A 22,820-nucleotide genomic window follows, 5' to 3' on the forward strand; every position below is an offset into this window, starting at 1 on the left:
TGTTTGCTGATGATGCTTTAAAGATAATCATGCCAGGAAAACTAGAAAAGCTCGCATAAGTGCCCCTTGTTTTTGATGCGATCATATTTAACCTCACTAAGTCTTCACTTTCAGATAAGTAATAGTAAGAATACAAAACCTGCTTCTTAACAACTGTTGTAAGTACTAAGCAGGATGATACATGTAAAGCCCACAACACATTGCCTGACATGACAGGATTTTATTTTCCCACTATTTATTCCAGAATCATCAGAGTATTTATTCAGAACTCAGTTTTTTAACCTTCATAGACTTTCTTTTTTTTTTTTTTTTTTTTTTTTGAGGTGGAGTTTCGCTCTTGTTGCCTAGGCTGGAGTATGGTGGTGTGATCTCAGCTCACTGCAACCTCTGCCTCCCAGGTTCAAGCGATTCTCCTGCCTCAGCCTCCTAAATAACAGAGAGGCGACGGGATCCACAAGGTTGAAGAGGAGCACTCTGGCTGCTGTGGGGCATTCGCCGAAGGGGTAGGGGTAGGGAGACCAGGGAGAAGGTGACTGCGTATGTCTGATGAGAGGACAGCAGTGGGACCAGAACTACAGCAGTGGAGATGCTGAGAAGGTCAGGTCCAAAATACATTTCTTTTTTTTTTTTTTTTTCCAGATAGAGTCTAGCTCTGTAGCCCAGGCTGGAGTGCAGTGGCACAATCTCGGCTCACTGCAACCTCTGCCTCCCAAGTTCAAGCAATTCTCCCGTCTCAGCCTCCTGAGTAGCTGGGATTACAGGCACGTGGCACCACACCCGGCCAATTTTGTATTTTTAGTTAGAGACGGGGTTTCACCATGTTGGTCAGGCTGGTCTCGAACTCCTGACCTCAGGTGATCCACCTGCCTCAGCCTCCCAAAGTGCTGGGATTACAGGCGTGAACCACTGTGCCCACCCCGAAATGCATTTCAAATATAAGGGCCAAGTGCAGTGGCTCACGCCTGTAATCCCAGCACTTTGAGAGGCTGAGGCGGGCAGATCATTTGAGGTCAGGAGTTCAAAACCAGCCTAGCCAACATGGTGAAACCCCGTCTCTACTAAAAATACAAAAATCAGCCAGGAGTGGTGGTGCGCGCCTGTAGTCCTATCTACTGGGGTGACTGAGGCAGGAGAATCGCTTGAGCCCAGAAGGTGGAGGTTGCAGTGAGCTGAGATCACACCACTGCACTCCAGCCTGGGTGACAGAGCAAGACTGTCAAAACAAAACAAAACAAAACAAAAACATTTCAAATGTAAGAACCAAGATCCAGTACTCATCCCTCAAATCTGCTGCTTCCCCTGCCTTCAGCTTCCCAGCAGCAAGCACCAGCCTTCCACGGCAACACGGTATCTTCGTGCAGCTTTCCTGTTTACACTACTGCTTTTTTATTAAATGGTGTTCAGTTAAAAAAAAAAAAAAAAAAGAACCAAGCTAATTTGCTGATTAATCAAATTTGGGATGTGAGAGGAAGAAGAAAAAAAAAGGAAGACTCTGCAGTTTGGAGCCTGAGCAGCTGGGAGAATGGAGAATACGGCTTCCTGAATGAGGAAAGCTCGGCCAAGAGCAAGTTTGAGGAAAAGCTCAAGAGTCCAGCCTGGACCCATCAGTGCCTTCCTGTACCCCCGTGGAGATGCCCAGTGACCTGGATGTGCAAGTCCAAGGCACTCAAGAAAGAGCTGTGCCTGGAACTCTTTCATTAGCATATAAATGATGTTTAAAGTCATGAAACTAAAGAAATTACCAAAGGGAAGGGAGAGACAGAGGCACCAGCAAAGTAGACTGAGGAAGAGTGCCCGGAAAGGCAGGGATTACCAGGAGCCTGCAGGAAGGAGGGCGTCCCCACCTGTGCCCCTGCCAGAGCAGGCGAGGCCTGTCTGAGAGGGACCCTTGGACCCAGCGAGGTGGAGGTCATTTGGAAGACAAGAGCGGGCGTCTCTGGAAAGCAGGGGGAGCACTTTTTCACAGGGGTTGTGAGGCGGTGGGAGAAGAGAAAGCAGACTGGGAGCACAGATGACTCTTCAGAGACTTGCTTTAAGGGAAAAAGAGAGGCGGGATGTAATAGCTACAGGAAGGGTCTTTTTGTTTTTCTGAAGTGTGGGATAAATAGTAAGTTTGTAAGGCCATGGGGGAAGCTCCAATAGGGAAGGGAGGACTAGTGGTGCCAGGGAGAGGGGGAGAATTGCTGGAGCAAGTCCCTGCATCTGTGGAAGCCATCAGGACACAGTGGGAAGAGGAAGGATTGGCCACACCTGAGAGCATCAGAGCCACAGGCAGCCGTGGCAGTGGTGCCCAAGGTGTCCTCTCTGGAGCATTTGTTCTCTCGGGAAGTAAGGGCTCTCTTGACTGTGGTTAGCTTTTTGTCTTAATTCACTCTGTCAGATACACAACTGTAAGACACTAAGATAACTGTTTTACAAGGCACAGTGGTCGCATCAAAGGAGTCCCTAAGCCCGATGGGCCAGGACATTCCAAAAAGATTGGACATGGTGGGAGAGGTACTTGTTTCTGGAGCTTCTGATGGCGCTGTCACCTCCCCTGTTCCTGCCCCGCAGCACAGGCCTTGATCCGAAGCTCTGGCTTTCTACACCTCTCTCTCCCACGGAAGTGGGAAATATCAGGAGTTTAAAAAAAGAACTGTTAAACTGTACAGGATTCCATATGACAGGATGCCGTTGAAAGTGTGCTGCCCAGAGAGAAGGGAACAAGGAAGCAGATGGCATGAAAAGAAGGGGAGAGCCTCCTTCAGTGAACCACAAACACCCAGAAGGCCAGACCATGGCCCAGCTCTCTGGCCCGGACCCCAGGACCCAGCTGGCACAGTGCTTGTGTCCATAAACTTTGCTGGACTGAGCCAAACCTGTGCCCTGTATCAGAGAGCCATATCAGAGGCAGATCTATCCAAGGAGACTTTTCTGTCCCCACCTTTCTGACATTGCTGTCCACTCTCCTTTTCAGACTTCCTTCTCTCCCAGCTTCTGTCCCATCTTCTTGCTTTCTTTCTGCCCCTCTGGCCCTCTTGTCTCAGTACTGTGCCGTTCACAGTCTCTTCTCCAGTCACCCCTTAAACGCTGGCATTCCAGAGGGCCCTGTCCTCGCCTTTCCATCTGGCGTGCTCATTCTCCCCTGCAAGCTTGATTGCCAGTGTGCTGCTGCTGACTCCCAGGTCTCTCCAGTCCAGACCCACTGCTGAACTCTGCACCAATGTGTCACACTCCTTACTGTACAGCCCACTTCAGCAGCTCAAGGGCACCTCGGACTCAACCTGTCCACCCTGAACTCGAGATCTTTCCTCCTCACATGTGCTCCTCCTCTGATGTGCCCCACCCCAGTGCAAGGGCAGCACCTTCCACCCATCACCCAAGCCAGAGACACAGTTGGCACAATGGACTTCTCCCTGCCTTTACTCCCCATCTCCAAGCTGTCTTCCCACACAGCTCAGATTCATTCCAAATGGCCTATCTTTTATGGACCAGTCACTCCTCACCTGGTCGGTGTAGCACGCACGGAATTTCTTGGACTTTGGCTCCGTCTTAGAGCAACCCACCTCTCCCCTCTGCACTGCTGCTGGAGTCAGCTTCCTAGAACCCTGATGCTATCCTCTCACTTTCCCTAGCCAGGACTCCCTTTCCCAAGCCAGCCTCTGCCTTCCTCTGCCTTCCTTCACGTAGGAAATCTCTATGTGATTTCCAGAGATTCCTGGAGACAGGAGAAGGTGTGCCCTGATTCTGTGGGAAGCACGGAAGGAACTGGTGCAGGCTGTGTGTGTCACAGTGTTGGGTGACAACGGGAGCAGCTCACCAGTCTTGTTCTGAGCAAGAGGCTGAAGATTGAGGGATACATTCCCCATCTGTTTACCTGCCAGCTGTGCCTTGGTTCAAGGCAAATTTTATGTAGAATATAAAATGCTATTACAGAAAAAGTGTCATAAGACTTTATTCAAGATTTTCAATGTCATAGTTTTTGGTTTCATAATGACAAATATATTTTAAATGTTTTTTAATCAAGTGAGTCACATAATAACATATCATTAATGTGTTATATATTTTGTTATCACATATAATTACATAAACAAATTGGTCAATTGAACAAAATAAAGAATCCAGAAATAGATTTACACATATTTGGTAAATTGATTTTTGACAAAGGTGCGAAGGCAGTTCAATAGCAAAATAAGAGTCTTTTTTAACAAATGATACCAGAATAATTGGATAGACATGTGCAAAAAAAATTTTTTTTGAGAAGGAGTTTAGCTCTTGTTGCCCAGGCTGAAGTTCAGTGGCGCGATTTTGGCTCACGGAAACCTCCGCCTCCTGGGTCCAAATGATTCTCCTGCGTCAGCCTCCCGAGTAGCTGGGATGACAGGTGCATGCCACCATGCCCGGCTAACCAAAAACTTTGTTCCATACCTCACATTCATTCATTCATTCATTCATTTTTCTTCAAAGCATTCACTCATTTATTCAGAATATATAAATAAGAAGTACAATATGTCAGGTATTGTTTTAGAGGAGGAAGACACTATCCTTGCCCATCCCCATCCCAGGATTCTTGACACATAAACAAATTGGTGCAATGTGCTATAAGAGATGTGTAGGGGAATAAGAGTACCAAGAAAGAAGCCATGAGGTTATGGGTGTTTGTGGGGCTGAGGATACAAGAAGTGTTTCCTGTAGGAGATAATGATAATATGTGTTTAGTCTACTATGTATTCTTAATCTATATTTGTAAAACAATGGTCCACATAATGATATCTGACTTGTACAAAATATCTTTTAGGGACAGTAGTTTTTATGCTGGCAAATTAAAATTATGCAAGAACTCTGGGACCCCTTAAGTTTTCCTGGGTCTTACTTACTTTGTAAATTTTAGCTCTACATAGTGTAATATATGTTTTATCTGAATGTTGAGACACACTAAGGAACAACACACTTCTTTTTGCACAGACTGGTGGCAACAGCTTTGGAATGTGTTTATCAAATTAAGAGACAAAAACACAAAATGCTACAGTTCAAAACTGGCTTTTTATTAGATCTGCTACTTTGCTTCAAACTTTAAACTCTACCCAGATAATGCAAGAAACAGAGAAGTACCAGTTGCAGAAAACCCTCTGTGTTGATTGCCTTTTGGGAATTTTAACATTTGAATATACTTCCCAGTGTGGAAGCTTGGAGTCAGGGGTGGACTCCAGAAGATACAGGGGCCTACCTAGCTGTAACCACATTATTATGAAGAACAAAATTACAGCTGAATTAAATTTTGAAGGCTGTCCTTGAGAATATGCATAGAAAGTTTTGTGTTACCTAATAGATAATTTGTGAGCCTGATGTCATTCAAAAGCCAGAGAAGAAATATTCAGGCTAAAACAAAACTTCCTACTTTCTTAGAACAAAGAGAATGTACTTCTTGTTGGGAAGCTAAATCCTAGGAAAGGGAAAACAAATACTCATAGATTGCAAGTCCCAGAGAATTTTAAAGTGAGTAAGATCGAACCACCAGATGAACCAGGGACCTTCCTAGAGAACTGAAAAGAAGCCTCAAGTATTGCTATTGCTGTAGCGTACAGGCATCAGAGTGGGTGTTTTAGTGAGTTAGGTTGAGATCAGGTGGCCTACATGAGCTCTGGGAACCAAAACAACAACATAGGAATATAGGTTAAATGTGTAGGTGGTGCTATAACTTTAAGTGGCTGAGTTCAAGATAATTTACAGTGATTTGGTCCTAGATGCTGTTATACTGGCACCCACCCAGCCTTTTTAAAAAGATAAAATCAGCCGGGTCCGATGGCTCACGCCTGTTTTCCCAGCACTTTGGGAGGCTGAGGCAGGAGGATCTCTTGAGGCCAGGAGTTCAAAACCAGCCTGAGCAATATAGTGAGACCCTGGTCTCTAAAAAAAAGAACATCAAAGCCTAAAAGTACAAAAGAGGTCTTTCAGGTTGCAGAGATAAGACATGGTCCATCACCCCCTTGGTGGAAGAGTGAATGAAAATATTGGCCACTTTGATTTTGCTGCTGTTTAGAAGGACTCCTGGCTGGGCGCGATGGCTCATGCCTGTAATCCCAACACTTTGGGAGGTTGATGTGGGCAGATCACTTGAGTCTGGCCAACATGGTGAAATGCTGTCTCTACTAAAATTACAAAAAATTAGCTGGGCATGGTAGTGCACACCTGCAATCCCAGCTACTTGGGAGACCGAGGCACAAGAATCACCTGAACCCAAGAGGCGGAGACTGCAGTGAGCCAAGATCAGGCTACTGCACTCCAGCCTGGGTGACAGAGTGAGACTCCGTCTCAAAAAAAAAAAGGAGGCTGGGTGCGGTGCTTCACGCCTGTAATCCAGGCACTTTAGGAGGCCGAGGTGGGTGGATCACCTGAGGTCAGGAGTTCGAGAGCAGCCTGACCAACATGGTAAAACCTCGCCTCTACTAAATACAAAAAATTAGCCAGGCGTGGTGGCTCATGCCTGTAATCCCAGCTAATTGGGAGGCTGAGGCAGGAGAATCACTTGAACCCAGGAGGCGGAGGCTGCAGTGAGCTGAGATTGCGCCATTGCGCTCCAGCCTGGGCAACAAGAGCAAAACTCTGTCTCAAAAAAACAAAAAGAAAAAAAAAAAGGAAAGACTCCTCTCACATCAGATTTAAAAATTCATTCAAAATGGATCATAAAACTACATGAAAAACCTAAAACCTAATAAAAACTTCTACAAGAAAGCATAGAAGATATTTATGAGCTTGGATTGGCAAAAGTTTCTTAGATATTGCATCAAAAGCATAATCCATAAAAGAAAAAATTAATAAATTGAACTTCATCAAAACTAAGAACTTCCTTGAAAAACACAAGCAAATGAAAAGGCAAGGCACAGACAGAGAAAATATTTGCAAATCACCTATCTCATACAGGACTGGTAAAGGGAAAATATAAAGAACTCTCAATGATAAGAAAATAACCCAGTTAAAAAGAGGGCAAAACACTTGATGAGGTAGTCCATCAGAGAAGATTTATGGATGGTAAATAAGCACATGAAAAGGTGTTCAATATCATTAGCTATTAGGGCAATGCAAATCAAAACCACAATGAGGGCTGGACAAAGTGGCTTACACCTGTAATCCCAACACTTTGGGAGGCTGAGATGGGAGGAACACTTGAGGCCAGAGTTCAAGATTAGCCTGGGCAGTATCATGAGACTCCATCTCTACAAAAAAAAAAAAAAAACAACAAAGAAAAACTTTTTTAAAAAACTATAATGAGATACCACCACACAACTATTAAATGGCTAAAATGAAAACGATTGCTCGTAATCAGTGTTGGTAAGGATGTGAAGAAAATGGCTTTCTCATGTGTGGCTGGTGGAAATGTAAATTGGTATAATCACTTTGGAAAACAGTTCTTCAAAAAGTTAAACATTCGCTCACCATATGGCCCAGCCGTTCCACTTCTAGGAATGGATGCAAAAGAAATAAAAGCACAGGCTGGGTGCGGTGGCTCACACCTGTAATCTCAGCACTTTGAGAGGCCAAGGCAGGCAGATCACCTAAGGTTAGGAGTTCAAGACCAGCCTGGTCAACATGGTGAAACCCTGTCTCTACTGAAAATACAAAAAAAATTAGCCAGGCGCGGTGGCAGGCACCTGTAATTCTAGCTACTCAGGAGGCTGAGGCAGGAGAATTGCTGGAACCCGGGAGGCAGAGGTTGCAGTGAGCCAAGATCGCGCCGTTGCACTCCAGCCTGGGTGACAGAGCAAGACTCTGTCTCAGAAAAAAAAAAAAAAAAGAAAAGAAAGAAATGAAAGCATATGTATGTCCCCACAAAGATTTGTATCCAAATATTCATAGCAGCATTATTTGTATTAGCCCAAAACTGAAAACAACACAAATGTCCATTGTGGAGGTTTTAAAATATGTCCACAAGTTCCTTGATACTTCTTCCCTCAAGAGGTGAAGATCATTCCTCTTCCTTTGTAGGCAGGCTGGACTTAGTGATTCCTGTCTACCAAACAGAATATCGTAGAAGTGAAGGTATGCAACTTCTAAGACTAGGTCAAAAAAGGCATTGCGACTGCCTTATGGTTCCTTCTTGTGTCACTCACTCTGGAGAAGCCAGCTGTGATGTCCTGAGGACACTCAAGCAGCCCAGGGGAGAGGTCCTTGTGGTGAGGAACTAAGTCCTCTGCCAAGAAGCATGTGAGTGCACCATCTTGGAAGCAGACCCAAGTCAAGCCTTCTGATGACTGTAACCTCCAATGACATCTTTTTTTGTTTGTTTGTGAGACAGAGTCTTACTCTGTCACCCAGGCTGGAGTATAGTGGCGTGATCTTGGCTCACTGCAACCCCTGCTTCTGGGTTCAAGCGATTCTCATGCCTCAGCCTCCCAAGTAGGCTGGGATTACAGGCACACACCACCACGCCCAGCTAATTTTTGTATTTTTGGTAAAGACAGGGTTTCACCATGTCAGCCAGGCTGGTCTCGAACTCCTGACCTCAAGTGATCCACCTGCCTCGGCCTCCCAAAATGCTGGGATTAGAGGCGTGAGCCACTGCACCCAGCCTCTTAACATTTTTTTTTTGAGACAGTCTCGCTTACTGCAGGCTCCGCACCCCGAGTTCACGCCATTCTCCTGCCTCAGCTTCCCGAGTAGCTGGGACTACAGGCGCCTGCCACCTTGCCCGGCTAATTTTTTGTATTTTTAGTGGAGACGGGGTTTCACCGTGTTAGCCAGGATGGTCTCGATCTCCTGACCTAGTGATCCGCCCGCCTCGGCCTCCCAGAGTGCTGAGATTACAGGCATGAGTCACCGTGCTGGGCCAGCCTCTTAACATTTTAACGTCTCTGAATTTAGCATGCATCTTATAATTATAGTGGACAGCTTTCTTTCTTTCTTTCTTTCTTTCTTTTTTATGGGACGTTTTAAAGGATGTCTTATTACTTTTGCCAGAAAAACAGTACATCTTTTATTCAGTGACATCCTAGATTCAATGAAATATGGTAAGTTTTGAAATCTAGGTAAGAAGAACAATTTTGTAGTTGAAAATAAATTCTTAAAATTGTCCTAAAAAATGGCAGAAAACCTGACTGAGTCAGTAAGTATAGAAGATATTGGAAAGTTTTTTAAAAACTAGCCTCCACAAAAGGGTTCCAACCCTCGTGGAATTTGGGACAAGGACAATCCAACATCACTGTAGAATCTAAGAAAAAGTTTGAACAAATGGACAAATATACTATGCTACTGAATGGGAAGACTTCATCTTGCAAAGATGTATATTTCTCCTCAGATGAAATAAATTAATGTGATTCCAGTCAGAATCCCAATTCTTTTCTCTTTATGCCTGGCATGTAGTAGGCACTCCATAAATATCTGCTAAGTGATTAGATGAGTGATTTGCCAAAAATTTTTTAAAAGATTTGTCATGAAGGATGATTATTTCTTTAACATTATAATTTATTGCAAAGCTACAATAATTAACACAGTATGATGCTGGTGCAAGAATAGACAAGCCACTCAATACAACAGAATAAAGTCCAGAAATAAACTCAAGTATATATAAAATGTATACGATGAAAGTAGCATTTCAAATCTGTAGAGACATGATGAATTTTTTTAAAGATAACGTTAGGACAATTGGACAAACTTTTGGAAAAAGTAAATGTATGCCTCTGTTTTTAGTTCTAAATAAATTAAAAGTGAAATATAAAAAGTCAGTGTCTGAAATTTATAAAAGAAAACATGGACCACTGTGTACCAAGTCTTAGCGGTGGAGAGAGCCTTTATAAGGATGACATTAAAGCAGAAGCCGGCCAGGAGGGGTGGCTCACACCCGTAATCCCAGCACTTTGGGAGGCTAAGGCGGGCAGATCACTTGAGGTCAGGAGTTCGAGACCAGACTGGCCAACATGGTGAGACCCTATCTCTATTAAAAATACAAAAATTAGCCGGGCGTGGTGGCATGTGCCTGTAATCCCAGCTACTTGGGAGGCTGAGGCAGGGGAATCGCTTGAACTCAGTGGGGCAGAGGTTGCAGTAAGCTGAGATCGTGCCATTGCACACCAGTCCAGCCTGGGCAAAAGAACCAGACTCCGTCTCAAAAAAAAAAAAAAAAAAAAATGCAGAATCCATGAACAAAGTTTGAAAGATCTGATTACACAAAACTTAAAATTTCTATGCCAAAAAGAACCATAAAATTAAAAGAGAAACAGCAAACTGGGGAAAATATGTGTGAGTTTCCAAAAGGGCCAATATCATTAGTATAGGCTGGGCACGGTGGCTCACACCAGTAATCCCAGCACTTTGGGAAACCAAGTCGGACAGATCACTTGAGCTCAGGAGTTCGAGACCAGTCTGGCCAACATGGTAAACCCAGTCTCTACTAAAAATACAAAAAATTAGCCAGGCATGGTGGCACATGCTTGTAATCCCAGCTACTCAGGAGGCCAAGGCACAAGAATTGCTTGAACCAGGGAGGCACAGGATGCAATGAGCCAAGATTCTCGTGCCACTGCACTCCAGCCTGGGCAACAAAGCAAGACTCTGTCTCAAAAAAAAAAAAAAAAAAATCATTAACATAAAAAGAGATCTTACATATCAAAAAGATAAAGACGGCTGGGCACCATGGTCACGCCTGTAATCCCAGCACTTTGGGAGGCCAAGAGGGCAGATCACCTGAGGTCGGGAGTTCAAGACCAGCCTGGCCAACTTGGAGAAACCCCGTCTCTACTAAAAATATAAAAATCAACTGGGCTTGGTGGCCCGTGCCTGTAATCCCAGCTATTCGGGAGGCTTAGGCAGGAGAATCGCTTGAACCCAGGAGGCGGAGGTTGTGGTGAGCCGAGATCGTGCCATTGCATTTCAGCCTAGGCAACAAGAGTGAAACTCCGTCACAAAAAAAAAAAAAAAAAACAGATAAAGGCATGAGCACCCATTAAAATATGAGAGAAGGATATGAGCAGATAATTTACAAAAGAAAGAAATCCAGTTACCCAATAAGCATTGTTAAAAGATAAATTTTGACACATTAAAATTTTTAAGAGTTTGAGCAGTGATTTTTATATATATATTTTTTGTTTGTTTGTTTGTTTGTTTGTTTTGAGATGGAGTCTCACTTTATAGCCCAGGCTGGAGTGCAGTGGTGCCATCTCAGCTCACTGCAACCTCCGCCTCCCAAGTCCAAGTGATTCTCCCACCTCAGCCTCCCGAGTAGCTGGGATTACAGGTCCCCACCACTAGGTCCGGCTAATTTTTTTGTATTTTTAGTGGAGATGGGGTTTCACCATGGTGGCCAGGCTGGTCTCAAACTCCTGACCTCAAGTGATCTGCCCGCCTTGGCCTCCCAAAGTGCTGAGATTACAGGTGTGAGCCACTGAGCCCGGACAACAGTGATTTATTAATCAGGCAGCTCCAAACCTGAGGGAACAAAGGGAGGCTTTTATAGGGTGAATGCAGAAGCAAAGCAAAGCAAGTATTTGATTTGCTAAAATGGAGCAGTAGCTTTACTTGGCTCATTCCAATGGAAAGTCCTTGGTTAGAGGTTAGTTGACTGTTTCTGGTTGGCTCCTAGAATATGACCTTTTACACTGAGTTGGGTTTTGGTTTGCTTATGTAGGAACTCACAGCACTGGGACCACCTCGTTCTAATGGCCTTGCAATTATTTTAACATCATGGGAAAAACTGTGCCCCACTGAGAATTTTAATATGCAAATTATCATTGTAATTATTTGGTCACTCAGACTGGCTGAGACTGTCAGAGTCATGGATTCTGGCACCCTCTCTCTGCACTGCTAGAAGTGGTCTAGATGGTACAGCCTTCTGGGGAAGAAGTTGGCAGGATGTGATTTTTAATGGACACAGCCTGTGTACTCACAGGCAATTATTTTAAGACATAATCAGCAAACTGTGAATAATGAGTTCTTGATTGTCTGTTACAACATCATTTATAAAGCAGAAAGCTTTGGAAACTAAATGGAAACAGGAGGAAACTGGTAAAGATGTTTTGTTACATTCAAATACTGAAGTGCCATACAGTGAGTTAAAGTTATGTTCTTGAAAAATGCATAGAAGAAAATATACAATATAGTGAAGAAAGCAAATTATATGTTAAAGTCCAATTCTGTTTTTCTTTATAACATTTATCTTGCTTATTCATTCTGAATAAAAATACTTGAAGGAGAAATACCAAAATGCTATCAGTACTGGCCGGGTGCGGTGGCTCACACTTGTAATCCCAGCGCTTTGGGAGGCCAAAGCGGGTGGATCACTTGTGGTCAGGAGTTCGAGACCAGCCTGGCCAACATGGTGAAACCCCATCTCTACCAAAAATAAAAAAATTAGCCAGGCGTGGTGGGGCACGCCTTAGTCCCAGCTACTCGGGAGGCTGAGGCAGGAGAATTGCTTGAACCCAAGAGGCAGAACCCAAGAGGCATAGGTTGCAGTGAGCCAAAATCGCGCCACCGCACTCCAGCCTGGGTGATAGAGCAAGACTCTGTCTCAAAAAATATGTGTGTGTGTGTGTGTGTGTGTGTGTGTGTGTGTGTGTCAGTATTTCTCCCTGGGACATAAGGTTGCAGATGATTTTTAAAATTTTCTTCTTTATGTTTTTCTTTGTTCCTCAAATATTCTACAACAAAACACAGAAAAAAATAACAAAGCTCATAAAGATGTAGATATAGATACAAAGTATTTAACAGTAAATAACATTCTGAATAAAATAAAATCATGTGACTTACATATAACCCAGCAATCTATACAAGAGAAATGAATATATGTCCATGCAGACTTGTACAGGAATGTTCATAGCATCTTTATTAACAATAGCAAAAAGCAGAAACAACCCAAATGCCCATCAAATGGTAAGTAGATCAACAAAATGTAGGCTATTCATACAGTGGAATATTATTTGGCCATAAAAAGGAATGATGCACTGACACATGGGTGAGCCTCGAAAACATCGAGCTCAGTCAAAGAAGCCAGACACAAAAGGCCACATGTTGCATGATGCAATTTATATGAAATGTCCGGAAAAGGCAAGTCCACAGACACAGAAGCAAATAAGTGGTTGACCAGGGCTAGGGGAAGAAATGGGGAGTGAGGTTTCATTTTAGGATGATGAGAGTTCTAAAATTAGATCATGATGATGTTAGACAACCCTGTAAATATGCTAAAATTCATTGAATTGTACATTTTATTTTATTTTTTTGAGACAGTCTAGCTTTGTCACCAGGCTGGAGTGCAGTGGCGTGATCTTGGCTCACTGCAACCTCTACCCCCCGGGTTCAAGTGATTCTCCTGCCTCAGCCTCCCGAATAGCTGGGATTACAGGCATGCGCCACCACGCCCAGCTGATTTTTGTATTTTTGGTAGAGATAGAGTTTCACCATGTTGGCCAGGATGGCCTCGATCTCCTGACCTCGTGATCCGCCCACCTCGGCTTCCCAAAAGTGCTGGGATTACAGGCGAGAGCCACTACACCTGCCCGAATTGTACCTTTTTAATGGATGAATTTTGTGGTCTATAAATGATCTCAGTAAAGCTGTTATTTTTAATAATTAAAAAATAAAATTGGTTTCATTATTTTTCAAACAGTAAACATACTAATACAGCCAAGACCCAATTGCAACAAAACTCTATATCTACAGACTCATCAAGTTGCTAATTATATCATTTTTTATTCCTTTTTTTTTCAGAAATTAGAAATGTGATTCTAAAATGTAGGTGGGGACATTTTGTGAACTAAAATGCATTAGCAGAATCCAAGATACTGGTCCTACATGTCATTATCTCTTCTCAGAGTAACACTACCATCTTTACCTCTACCCTCTGTAGACAGTTTTAAACATTTAAACGAATGAAATTATACAGTATGTACTCAGATATCTAGCTTCTAGCTTTTCTTTTCTTTTCTTTTCTTTTTTGAGATGGAGTCTCGCTGTGTCACCCAGGCTGGAGTGCAGTGGCGTGATCTCGGCTCACTGCAAGCTCCGCCTCCCGGGTTCACACCATTCTCCTGCCTCAGCCTCCTGAGTAGCTGGGACTACAGGCGCCCGCCACCACGCCCGGCTAATTTTTTTTTTTTTTTGTATTTTTAGTAGAGACGGAGTTTCACCGTGTTAGCCAGGATGGTCTCGATCTCCTGACCTTGTGATCCTCCCGCCTGGGACTCACAAAGTGCCAGGATTACAAGCGTGAGCCACTGCACCTGGCCGCTTTTCTTTTTTTGCTCAATATTATGTCTGTGAGTCATCCCTGTTGTTGTGTGTCAATAATTAACATTCAGATGTTTAGTAACATCCATTCTTTATGATGTTAATAAAAATTCAGGCCAGCTCGGTGGCTCATGCCTGTAATCCCAGCACTGTGGGAGGCTGGGGCGAGTGGATCACTTGAGGTCAGGAGTTCGACACCAGCCTGGCCAAATGGAGAAACCCCACCTCTACTAAAAATGCAAAAACTAGCTGGGCATGGTGGCGGGCGTCTGTAGTCCCAGCTACTTGGGAGGCTGAGGCAGGAGAATCGCTTGAACCTGGGAGGCAGAGGTTGCAATGAGCTGAGATCTCACCATTGCACTCCAGTCCAGGCAACAGAGCAAGACTCCGTCTCAAAAATTAAAAATAATAATAATAATAACTCCATCTTTCATTGAGAAAGAAATGTATGGCTAAAACATGATGGTTTGGGAGGCTGAGACAAGAGGATTGCTTGAGCTCAGGAGTTGGAAACCAGGCTAGGCAACATAGACCTTGTCTCTACTGAAAAAAAAAAATTAGCTGGGTGTGCTGGTGTGCACCTGTAGCCCCAGCTACTGGGGGATTTAAAGTAGGAGGCTCACTTTAGCCTGGGATGGGGAGGCTGCAGTCAGCTGTAATCATGCCACTGCACTCCAGCCTGTGTGACAGAACAAGACTCTGTCTCCAAAAAAAAATTTTTTTAATTTAAATTTTAAAAATGTGATGGACCTCTGTAATAAATGGGGCCTTTGTTTCTCCACTGACTTTCTCACTCTAAGAGGGTCTGAACCACGTGGACTTGTGTTTAGAGCTTGCAGCAGGCCAGGAACAATGTACTTGAATGAACCTTGTGTTAATCTAATACTGGTTGAGGTTCACCAAGAGGATACAAGCGTATGGCTTCAAGTCCTCTTGAATAATAATAAAATGTTAGGGGGTATCTGGCTCCCACCATCCTTGTCCTGAATGAGGCTCAAGGTGTGATCCACCTTGCAGGAGGGCATTCTCCACCCAAGGGCTGCCGTCAGGTGTCCCTTCTTGACCGTTCACAAGTGTGGGAGACAGTAGGGCATAGGCATTCAGCACACGGGCTCTGCAGTCACGCAGACCTGTGTTCAAACCCTGCTTCCCCCACACAGTGCTTGTGAGACTTTGGACAAACTACTTCATCTCTCCTAACCTCAATTTTCTCATCTGTAAAGTGAGTGTAATAATGGTATCTACTTTGTGAAGTTCTACAGATTAAATGGGATAATGGCTTTAAAGCTCAGTGCCTGGCACATAGTAAATTCTCCCAAAACAGCAGCTCTTATTATTTGTAGTAGTAATATTATTCTGGCTCAGAATGCCTTTGACCCTAAGTATCCAGCATCATGGCGGTATTCATACTGGCTATTTATAAAGAACTAGCAGATAGGGTACTATTCTTGTTGCCTGTTTTTCATTTCTTTAATTACAGTCATCTAAGTGTTGTCTCTAACAAAAATGAGTTGCTGTTGTTTTCATTGCAGACAGTTGCATCTATAAAAAGGTTTGCCCCTTTAATGGTGGCTCTTTTTTGGTTCAACCTTCTGCGTCAGATTTCCAGTTCTGTTGGAACCAGGCTCCCTATGCAATTGGTAAGAAAAGTCTTTATCATAATGCTTTTCTCCTTCATGGATATGTCTGAACTATTGTAAGCAAATCCTATGTAAGCAAATCACTGGCTTACTGCGAAATTGCTATAAATTATACGCGTATGATGAATATTCACAGCGTTCTTTTTCTTTTTCTTTTATTTTTGTTCCCCTTTTGGGACTATCGTCTTCTACTGTTCTTCCTAGTTTCTCTCAGTGCCTGAGCATGTATGCATTTGAGAGCAATTAAATGTCATTTTTCAGTACTTGGTTATCATTTCAGCACCTCAGTTCATTTCTGGGCCTCACTTTCCTTTTTCTAAAATTCAAGTGTAAGGTCTCCAGCCTCAAAATGCTGACTGACCTCGGGGAGAAGCACAGTGCTTTCAGGGCCATTGGTATATGTTTCATAGAAATTCAGGTACCTGCCTGCCACTAAAATGTCAGGACATGAGCGGCGATGCTTTGTGTTTGTGATTCAAGATCCACAACTGGCCATTGCCTTTTGGAAGTCAGATCAGAGCCAAGAATGTTCCAGTTCATTCTTTTGTCCTCACAATAAAACTGTGTGTTAATAGGTCCACAGGACAGCATTTTGAGAGGAAGGCAGAGGGACCAACCTAAGATCCTGGGAGGACCAGTTAGACTTGATGACAGATTAGATCTGGTAGACAGGAAAGGGAGATTTTGAACCACGTTGCTGGAGGGGCTTGAAAGTCATGGCTGGAGGCATAGATGTGGTAGGCACAGTCACCAGGAAAGCCAGGAGAGCAGATGCGCTCATCCATGGAAAGAGTGCAGAGAGAGCCAGTGCGAAGAAGGGGACAACACGAAGTGCCAGGAAGAAAGAGGTGTGCCCCAGGGCAGCCAGGGCAGGCACAGTGCCTGGAAGCCAGTGTGTCATCCAAATCATTTCAAGCAGAGGGGCCAGCCCTTAACAAATAACTCAGCAAACCCCTTGATGCCGAGGGACACTGCGAGGGCCAGTGAGGAATAAGATGCAGCCCCGGCTCAGACGTGCAGCTGGAGGAGCACATGGGAGGAGCGAGGAGCACTGAGGGACACCAGGGCTGGGCCTTGAAGAGCGACCAAAGGGAAGGGTCCCAGGCAGGATGGCCTGGGCCTGCAGACAGAATGTCAGGCTGGCGTCTGAACAACAGAAGGGACTCCCCACAGGACTATGGCAAGTGAGCTGCCTCGCTGGAAGATCAGGCAGTGGGGTTTCCATGGGGGAAAATGGCAGCAAGCATGGTGACAGTGCACACCTCCTGGGAGGCGCAGTGTGGCAACCGAGGGGAGGCTGTCTTGGGAACCCAGGCTACCTTAGGATCAGGGTGACTTGCACATGTGAAGGAAGGAGAGAAGCAGCCAGAGGAATGAGAGATGGAAGTTTCTAGAGAAGTGAGTGTGACTATGACACAGTCACAGCCCCTTCGCGGCCACCAAGCCAGCAGCTGGGAGGTGACACTCCCGTTCCCTTGCAGTCTGTGCTTTCCCGTATCTCCTGGCCTTCACCACCGACTCCATGGAGATCCGCCTGGTGGTGAACGGGAACCTGGTCCACACTGCAGTCGTGCCGCAGCTGCAGCTGGTGGCCTCCAGGGTGAGTAGGACTGGGATTTTATCTCTGAGTGGTTTGGGGGACCCCGGCACTGTGGGATTTCAGGTGAGCACAGAAGCCGCCTCTTGTCAAGTTAGGCTGATGAAGACCGGTGTCAGAATGCCAGCACGAGATGGAAAGCCTGAAACCAGACTGATCTGTTGGGTTTTCATGTGTGATTTCTGTGGGCTTTCAGAACACTCCTCAGCTTTGTTAATAGTCATTAACTGGTGCTGGTGGCAGCTGGGGAGCACTTAGCTGAAAAGAGATATCCCCGCTCAGAGACTGGGTCAGTTATTCATGTCACTGCTGCCCTGGAGGACAGTCCAAGTCTAGAAAAGTCAGAGCTTGCAATCTTTCTTCCTTTCCCACCCTCTATCCTCAGTTTGAATTCTTAGCCTATGAAACATGGCTAATTGATTAATCCCTGCCTCATAACCCACAGCTAGGGCAAAACGGAGGGATGCAGGAACAAAGATGCCTTCCAAGATGTCTTTTGTCGCTGGCATATAATCTGGGGGGTCTTGTTCTAGTCCCCTCCCCTGAGTCAGGCCCACAAAGTCCTCCCCAGCCCTGCCAGACTGGGCTGGCTCCCCCGCTGTGTCCCCTGTTCCCTTCCCTGGTCCTGACATCCATCACATTTGGTGGTAGGTGACTGCCTATTTGTTCATCTTTGCTGCTGCACTGATGGTTCTGTGAGAGCAGATGCCATGCTGTCTTACCATCATAGTACCAGTGGTGTGCTCAATGCTTCAGTCCCGCAGTGCTCTGGAAAATGTGTGTGTGTGCACATATGTGCATATATGTATGATATGTGTACATATCTGCATGTATGTATCATATGCGTGTACATTAGTTGATTGTAAATAGCTTACAATTTACAAATAATAAATATACAATGCTGTTTATCATAAAAATCCACTTAGCCAATTGGTTCTTACAAAATGTTTTTGTTAATATTTGCTGAACTCTTGTATCCATAGCCAACCTACAGTTGCAGTTCAACCATGATTTTACACTTGGAGTTATATCTCAATCCACTCATTTTTTTCCAATGTATATTGTCATTTAATCTGATAGGTAATCTGCTATAAAACTATTTTTCACCCTCATACAACTCATAGTCATTAAACTGAAACTTCTTTCAGCTTCTGTACCAGACTAAACACACTTCTACGTTTCTTGTTCATTACTAGTACTTTCTCCATCACTGTAAGTCTAGACAATCAACAAAACAACAAATCAAAGTCAAACTGATAGTCTTTGCTGGATTCCATGGTGTAAAGAGTCCCTGCATGATTGATTTCAAGCTGCCAGCGTGACGCCACTGCAGGTGGTGCTGGGGAGACGTGCATTATCCCCCATGGTGCAGTATCTCTCCCCCAAGCCCCACACAGACACTGTTGGTGTCAATAACTCCAGAGCAGATGTAATAGTAAGCACAGTCAAATAATTAGGAATGGCTGGATTTGGATATTTAGGGCCTTTGTTTTTTTAGGTTTGTATAATTTAATTTCTAATCATGTGTGTTTAACAGCCAGTTTGCAAAATTCCTGAAAATTGGATTTCATAGATCACATCCAGCACACCACTGCTGTTAGCAGCAGCGCCAGCGCATCACGGGTGTGCCTGAGTATCTGCTGGATCAGTGAATGAAGAATCCATTTCCCCATCTGCCAAATGGGCCTAACTGAATCCCTAAGATCTTTCCCGTTCTAACACTCCAGGTGCCTGAGATTCCTGTTAGGGAAGTGTGTGCTGTGTTTGTGATTGCAGAAGATGTGTGGTGGAACACTGACTGTTTTCTATTGTGGATCAACAAATAGATGATGAAAAGTGGCGGGGAGTGGAATACTCAGGAAAAGTGTAACTAGCCACGCTGGGCTTTCCTCCAGAAGGCTCTCTCCATCCCTCGCCCCGGCATCCCGCACTGCACTGTATGCTCCAAGGATGGGGACCAGTTGGAGGGTTTGCAGTGATGGCAGGAGGGCCAGTGGATGCAAGGCCTAGAACACCAGGCAGCCCGGTAATGCTCTCTCTTCCTTTCTAGTCGGATATATACTTCACAGCAACTGCAGCTGTGAATGAGGTCTCATCTGGAGGCAGCTCCAAGGGGGCCAGTGCCCGAAATTCTCCTCAGACACCCCCGGGCCGAGATACTCCAGTATTTCCTTCTTCCCTGGGGGAAGGTGAAGTCCAAGTTTTACTGTTTTATTAATATTTGTAATTCACTCTAATTTCTCTAGTTTGTTGTCTAATATCTACATGTGATTACTGTTTAAAGAAGTTACTATTTAAAGCCATTAAAAAAAGAAACTAGCTGAGCGTGGTGGCTCACCCCTATAATCCCAGCACTTTGGGAAGCTGAGGCGGGCGGATCACCTAAGGCCAGGAGTTCAAGACCAGCCTGACCAACATGGTGAAACCCCATCTCTACTAAAAATACAAAAATTAGCCGGGTGTGGTGGCACACACCTGTAATCCCAGCTACTTGGGAGGCTGAGGCAGGAGAATCACTTGACCCTGGGAGGTGGATGTTGCAGTGAGCCGAGAGCACGCCATTGCACTCCAGCCTGGGCGATAGAGCGAGACTCTGTCTACAAAAAAAAAAAAAAAAAGAAAGAAATCTTGCAGTCTGAATACATGGTTGTGTTCTTAAGAAACCTGGTGATAACAACGACAAAACTCCATTATAAAAATAATAAATAAATAAATAAACTGGGCTAGGCGCTGTGGCTCACACTTGTAATCCCAGCACTTTGGCGGGCTGAGGCAGATGGATCGCTTGAGCCCAGCAGTTCAAGACCAGCTGGGCAACATGGCAAAACCCTGTCTCTAAAAAAAAATACAAAAACTAGCTGGGCATGGTAACATGTGCCTGTAGTCCCAGCTACTTGGGAGGCTGAGGTGGGAGGATCACCTGAGCAGCGGAGGTCAAGGCTGCATTGAGCCGGGATTGCACCTCTGCACTCCAGCCTGGGCAACAGAGTGAGAGACCCTGTCTCTACAAAAACTAAAATTAAATTAGCTGGCTGTGGTGGCATGCACCTGTGGTCCCAGCTACTCAGGAGACTGAGGTGGGAGGATCACTTGAGCCTGGGAGGTCAAGGCTGCAGTAAGTCATGATTGCATCATTGCACTCCAGCCTGAGCGACAGAACAAGACCTTGTCTCAAAAAAAAAAAAAAAAAAGTTTCAGTGGGGAGGAGGGAGTTAAAGGCTATAGAGTTTCCAACTTGCAACAGCAGTTATTTTTCCTTCAGGGCTGTTAACAGTAGTGGGTTTTGAAAGCTAAAAGAATAGAGTCATCAAGCCTAGACATTCCCCAGCACATGCAGTCTTTCACTCTATCTGGCTTTGCCCGCAAACCCCAGAGGCCTCTGCTGTGGTTACCTCATCGCTTTGAACACAGCGCTTTTCATAAATTCTTACCACATCACTCATCTTTATTGCACGCAGTTAAGATAAAGCACAGAATTCCCCAAGCAGGGCAGCTTTTTGCTTTTCTTGTCTAGTCTTTTTTCCTGTGCAGTCACGAGTGCATTTTACCTAATTTACACATGAAAATGCTCTTAGAAAACGCAAAGCCATCAGGCACCCTCAAATCAGTGCTCCTGGCCAGCCCTCCCAGTGGGACATTACAGATCAGTGTGTGACATAACGTCTTCCTTCATGCTATGTTAAGGAACAAGAAATTACTCTCTTGTAAATAATGTGCACTTTTCTTAAAGTTCTGATGTTCTTTTTGAAATCACATTTCAGGTGAAATTCAATCAAAAAATCTGTACAAGATTCCACTTAGAAACCTCGTGGGCAGAAGCATCGAACGACCTCTGAAGTCACCCTTAGTCTCCAAGGTCATCACCCCACCCACTCCCATCAGTGTGGGCCTTGCTGCCATTCCAGTCACGCACTCCTTGTCCCTGTCTCGCATGGAGATCAAAGAAATAGCAAGCAGGACCCGCAGGGAACTACTGGGTAATGGTTCTCAATCCTGGTTTCCACTGTCTGTGAACAGACCAGCTGGTTTTATCTTTGGATATGAATTGTCCTCAGAAACAATGAGTTTAAAAGGAAAGTTTCCTTTTAAGAAGGGATTTTTAAGTAAGTTCTAATACCTCTATACCAAGGAATACACTATAATGTAGCCACCAACAGTGATGTTGTTGATCTATATTTATTGGTGTGGAAAGCTGCTCAAGCCATGTGAAGGGGGGAAATGGGCAGTTTATAAAACACTATGTCTAGTCTGATACCATTTTTAAAAATAAAAGTACCAATCTATGTATGATTTCCTAGAAAGGTGTCTAGAAGGATTTATATCCCACAGTCCTCAGACAACATTTTATGTTGGTATGTCCCAAAGTGGAAATGTACCATGTTTTTACACGTGTGTGTTCAGTTCCCTTATTACTTCTCCCAGCCCTAGACAGTGGGGGCAGGTCTGTGGATAGAACAGATGCAAGATATGTGTTGAGCTCATTTCTCTCAGTATAACTATGGGACTGGGCTCACACCTGTTATCTCAGCATTTTGGGAGAGGCTGAGGCAGGCAGATCACTTGAGTGCAGGAGTTCAAGACCAGCCTGGGTAACATGGTGAAACCCCATCTCTATAAAAAATAAAAAAATTAGCCAGCCATGGTGGCATGTGCCTATAGTCCCAGCTACTCAAGAAGCTGAGGCAAGAGAATCGATTGAGTCCGGGAGGTCAAGGCTACAGGGACCCATGATTACACCACTGCACTCCAGCCTGGGTGACAGAGTGACACCCTGTCTTTAAAAAAAAAAAAAAAAAAAAAAAAAAGATGAGAGGCCAAATCAGAGAAACATAAAGCCCCTGATAAGTGTGAAAAGGTTAGACTGTTAGAAACCTTTTTGTTCAGATTTGTGGAAACAAAATAAGGAAATATGGAAGTGACATGTTAAACCAGGAGAAACTGGTTTGAAAACTTAGACTGGGACCTGCATGAACGTTGGCCTGGGCACACCCCTGCCCTGCAGTAATATTCCCTGAACAACTGCAGGAGGGGATTCAGGCCACCTGACAGGGCAGGACTAGACACTAACAAAGTCCATTGGTTTTTCAAGTTGGTGCCTTCTACTGTGTTTTGAAAATAAATGTATTGCTATTTTTAATGCAGCCTTCCATATCAAAGCTTGATCTGCCCACCACTGTTTACAAACCACTGAGCTTTTGCAAAACGGAACCTCTGAATTGGAGAATTACAGGGTTATCAACGGTAGGACTGTAAATCATCTGTCCTCATTAGGCTCTTTGAGTCTAATTTTTTTGCAAAGTGTGTATACTTTATAATCAGAAAAGAAAAACCTTCTACCAACCAGAAAACCAATAATTTGAAAATATATATTCTATCATCTTTCTTCCTGA

General features: G+C 44.4%; 1 protein-coding gene and 1 long non-coding RNA gene across 15 annotated transcripts in view, besides 1 other annotated feature; both read left to right on the forward strand.

Annotated features, from left to right (window-relative positions):
- The window catches only part of GARNL3 (GTPase activating Rap/RanGAP domain like 3), a 169,048-nt gene that overhangs the window by 143,100 nt on the left and 3,128 nt on the right, over positions 1-22,820 (forward strand). For 13 of the 14 annotated variants that reach the window (XM_047423963.1, XM_011519086.4, XM_005252268.3 and 10 more), the window contains 4 exons: positions 15,726-15,833; positions 17,315-17,433; positions 19,481-19,619; positions 21,192-21,407. In XM_047423963.1, coding sequence (XP_047279919.1) covers positions 15,726-15,833; positions 17,315-17,433; positions 19,481-19,619; positions 21,192-21,407 — 582 coding nt within the window. The remainder of the gene's footprint in view (positions 1-15,725; positions 15,834-17,314; positions 17,434-19,480; positions 19,620-21,191; positions 21,408-22,820) is intronic. The other variant, NR_104591.2, reaches the window with a different exon arrangement.
- On the forward strand, positions 358-4,827 carry LOC124902275 (uncharacterized). The gene is made up of 2 exons (XR_007061794.1): positions 358-597; positions 1,310-4,827. It is a non-coding gene; the product is annotated as an uncharacterized LOC124902275 (long non-coding RNA).
- Positions 16,976-17,709: an enhancer, noted in NCBI's record as "H3K27ac-H3K4me1 hESC enhancer chr9:130146967-130147700 (GRCh37/hg19 assembly coordinates)". NCBI's record gives its function as "activates a minimal SCP1, AML or CMV promoter by ChIP-STARR-seq in primed H9 embryonic stem cells {active_cell/tissue: H9 hESC(primed)}" and the evidence as "EXISTENCE:reporter gene assay evidence [ECO:0000049][PMID:30033119]".

This window comes from Homo sapiens, chromosome 9 (genome assembly GCF_000001405.40).
Source record: "Homo sapiens chromosome 9, GRCh38.p14 Primary Assembly".
NCBI classification, from domain to species: Eukaryota; Metazoa; Chordata; class Mammalia; order Primates; family Hominidae; genus Homo; species Homo sapiens.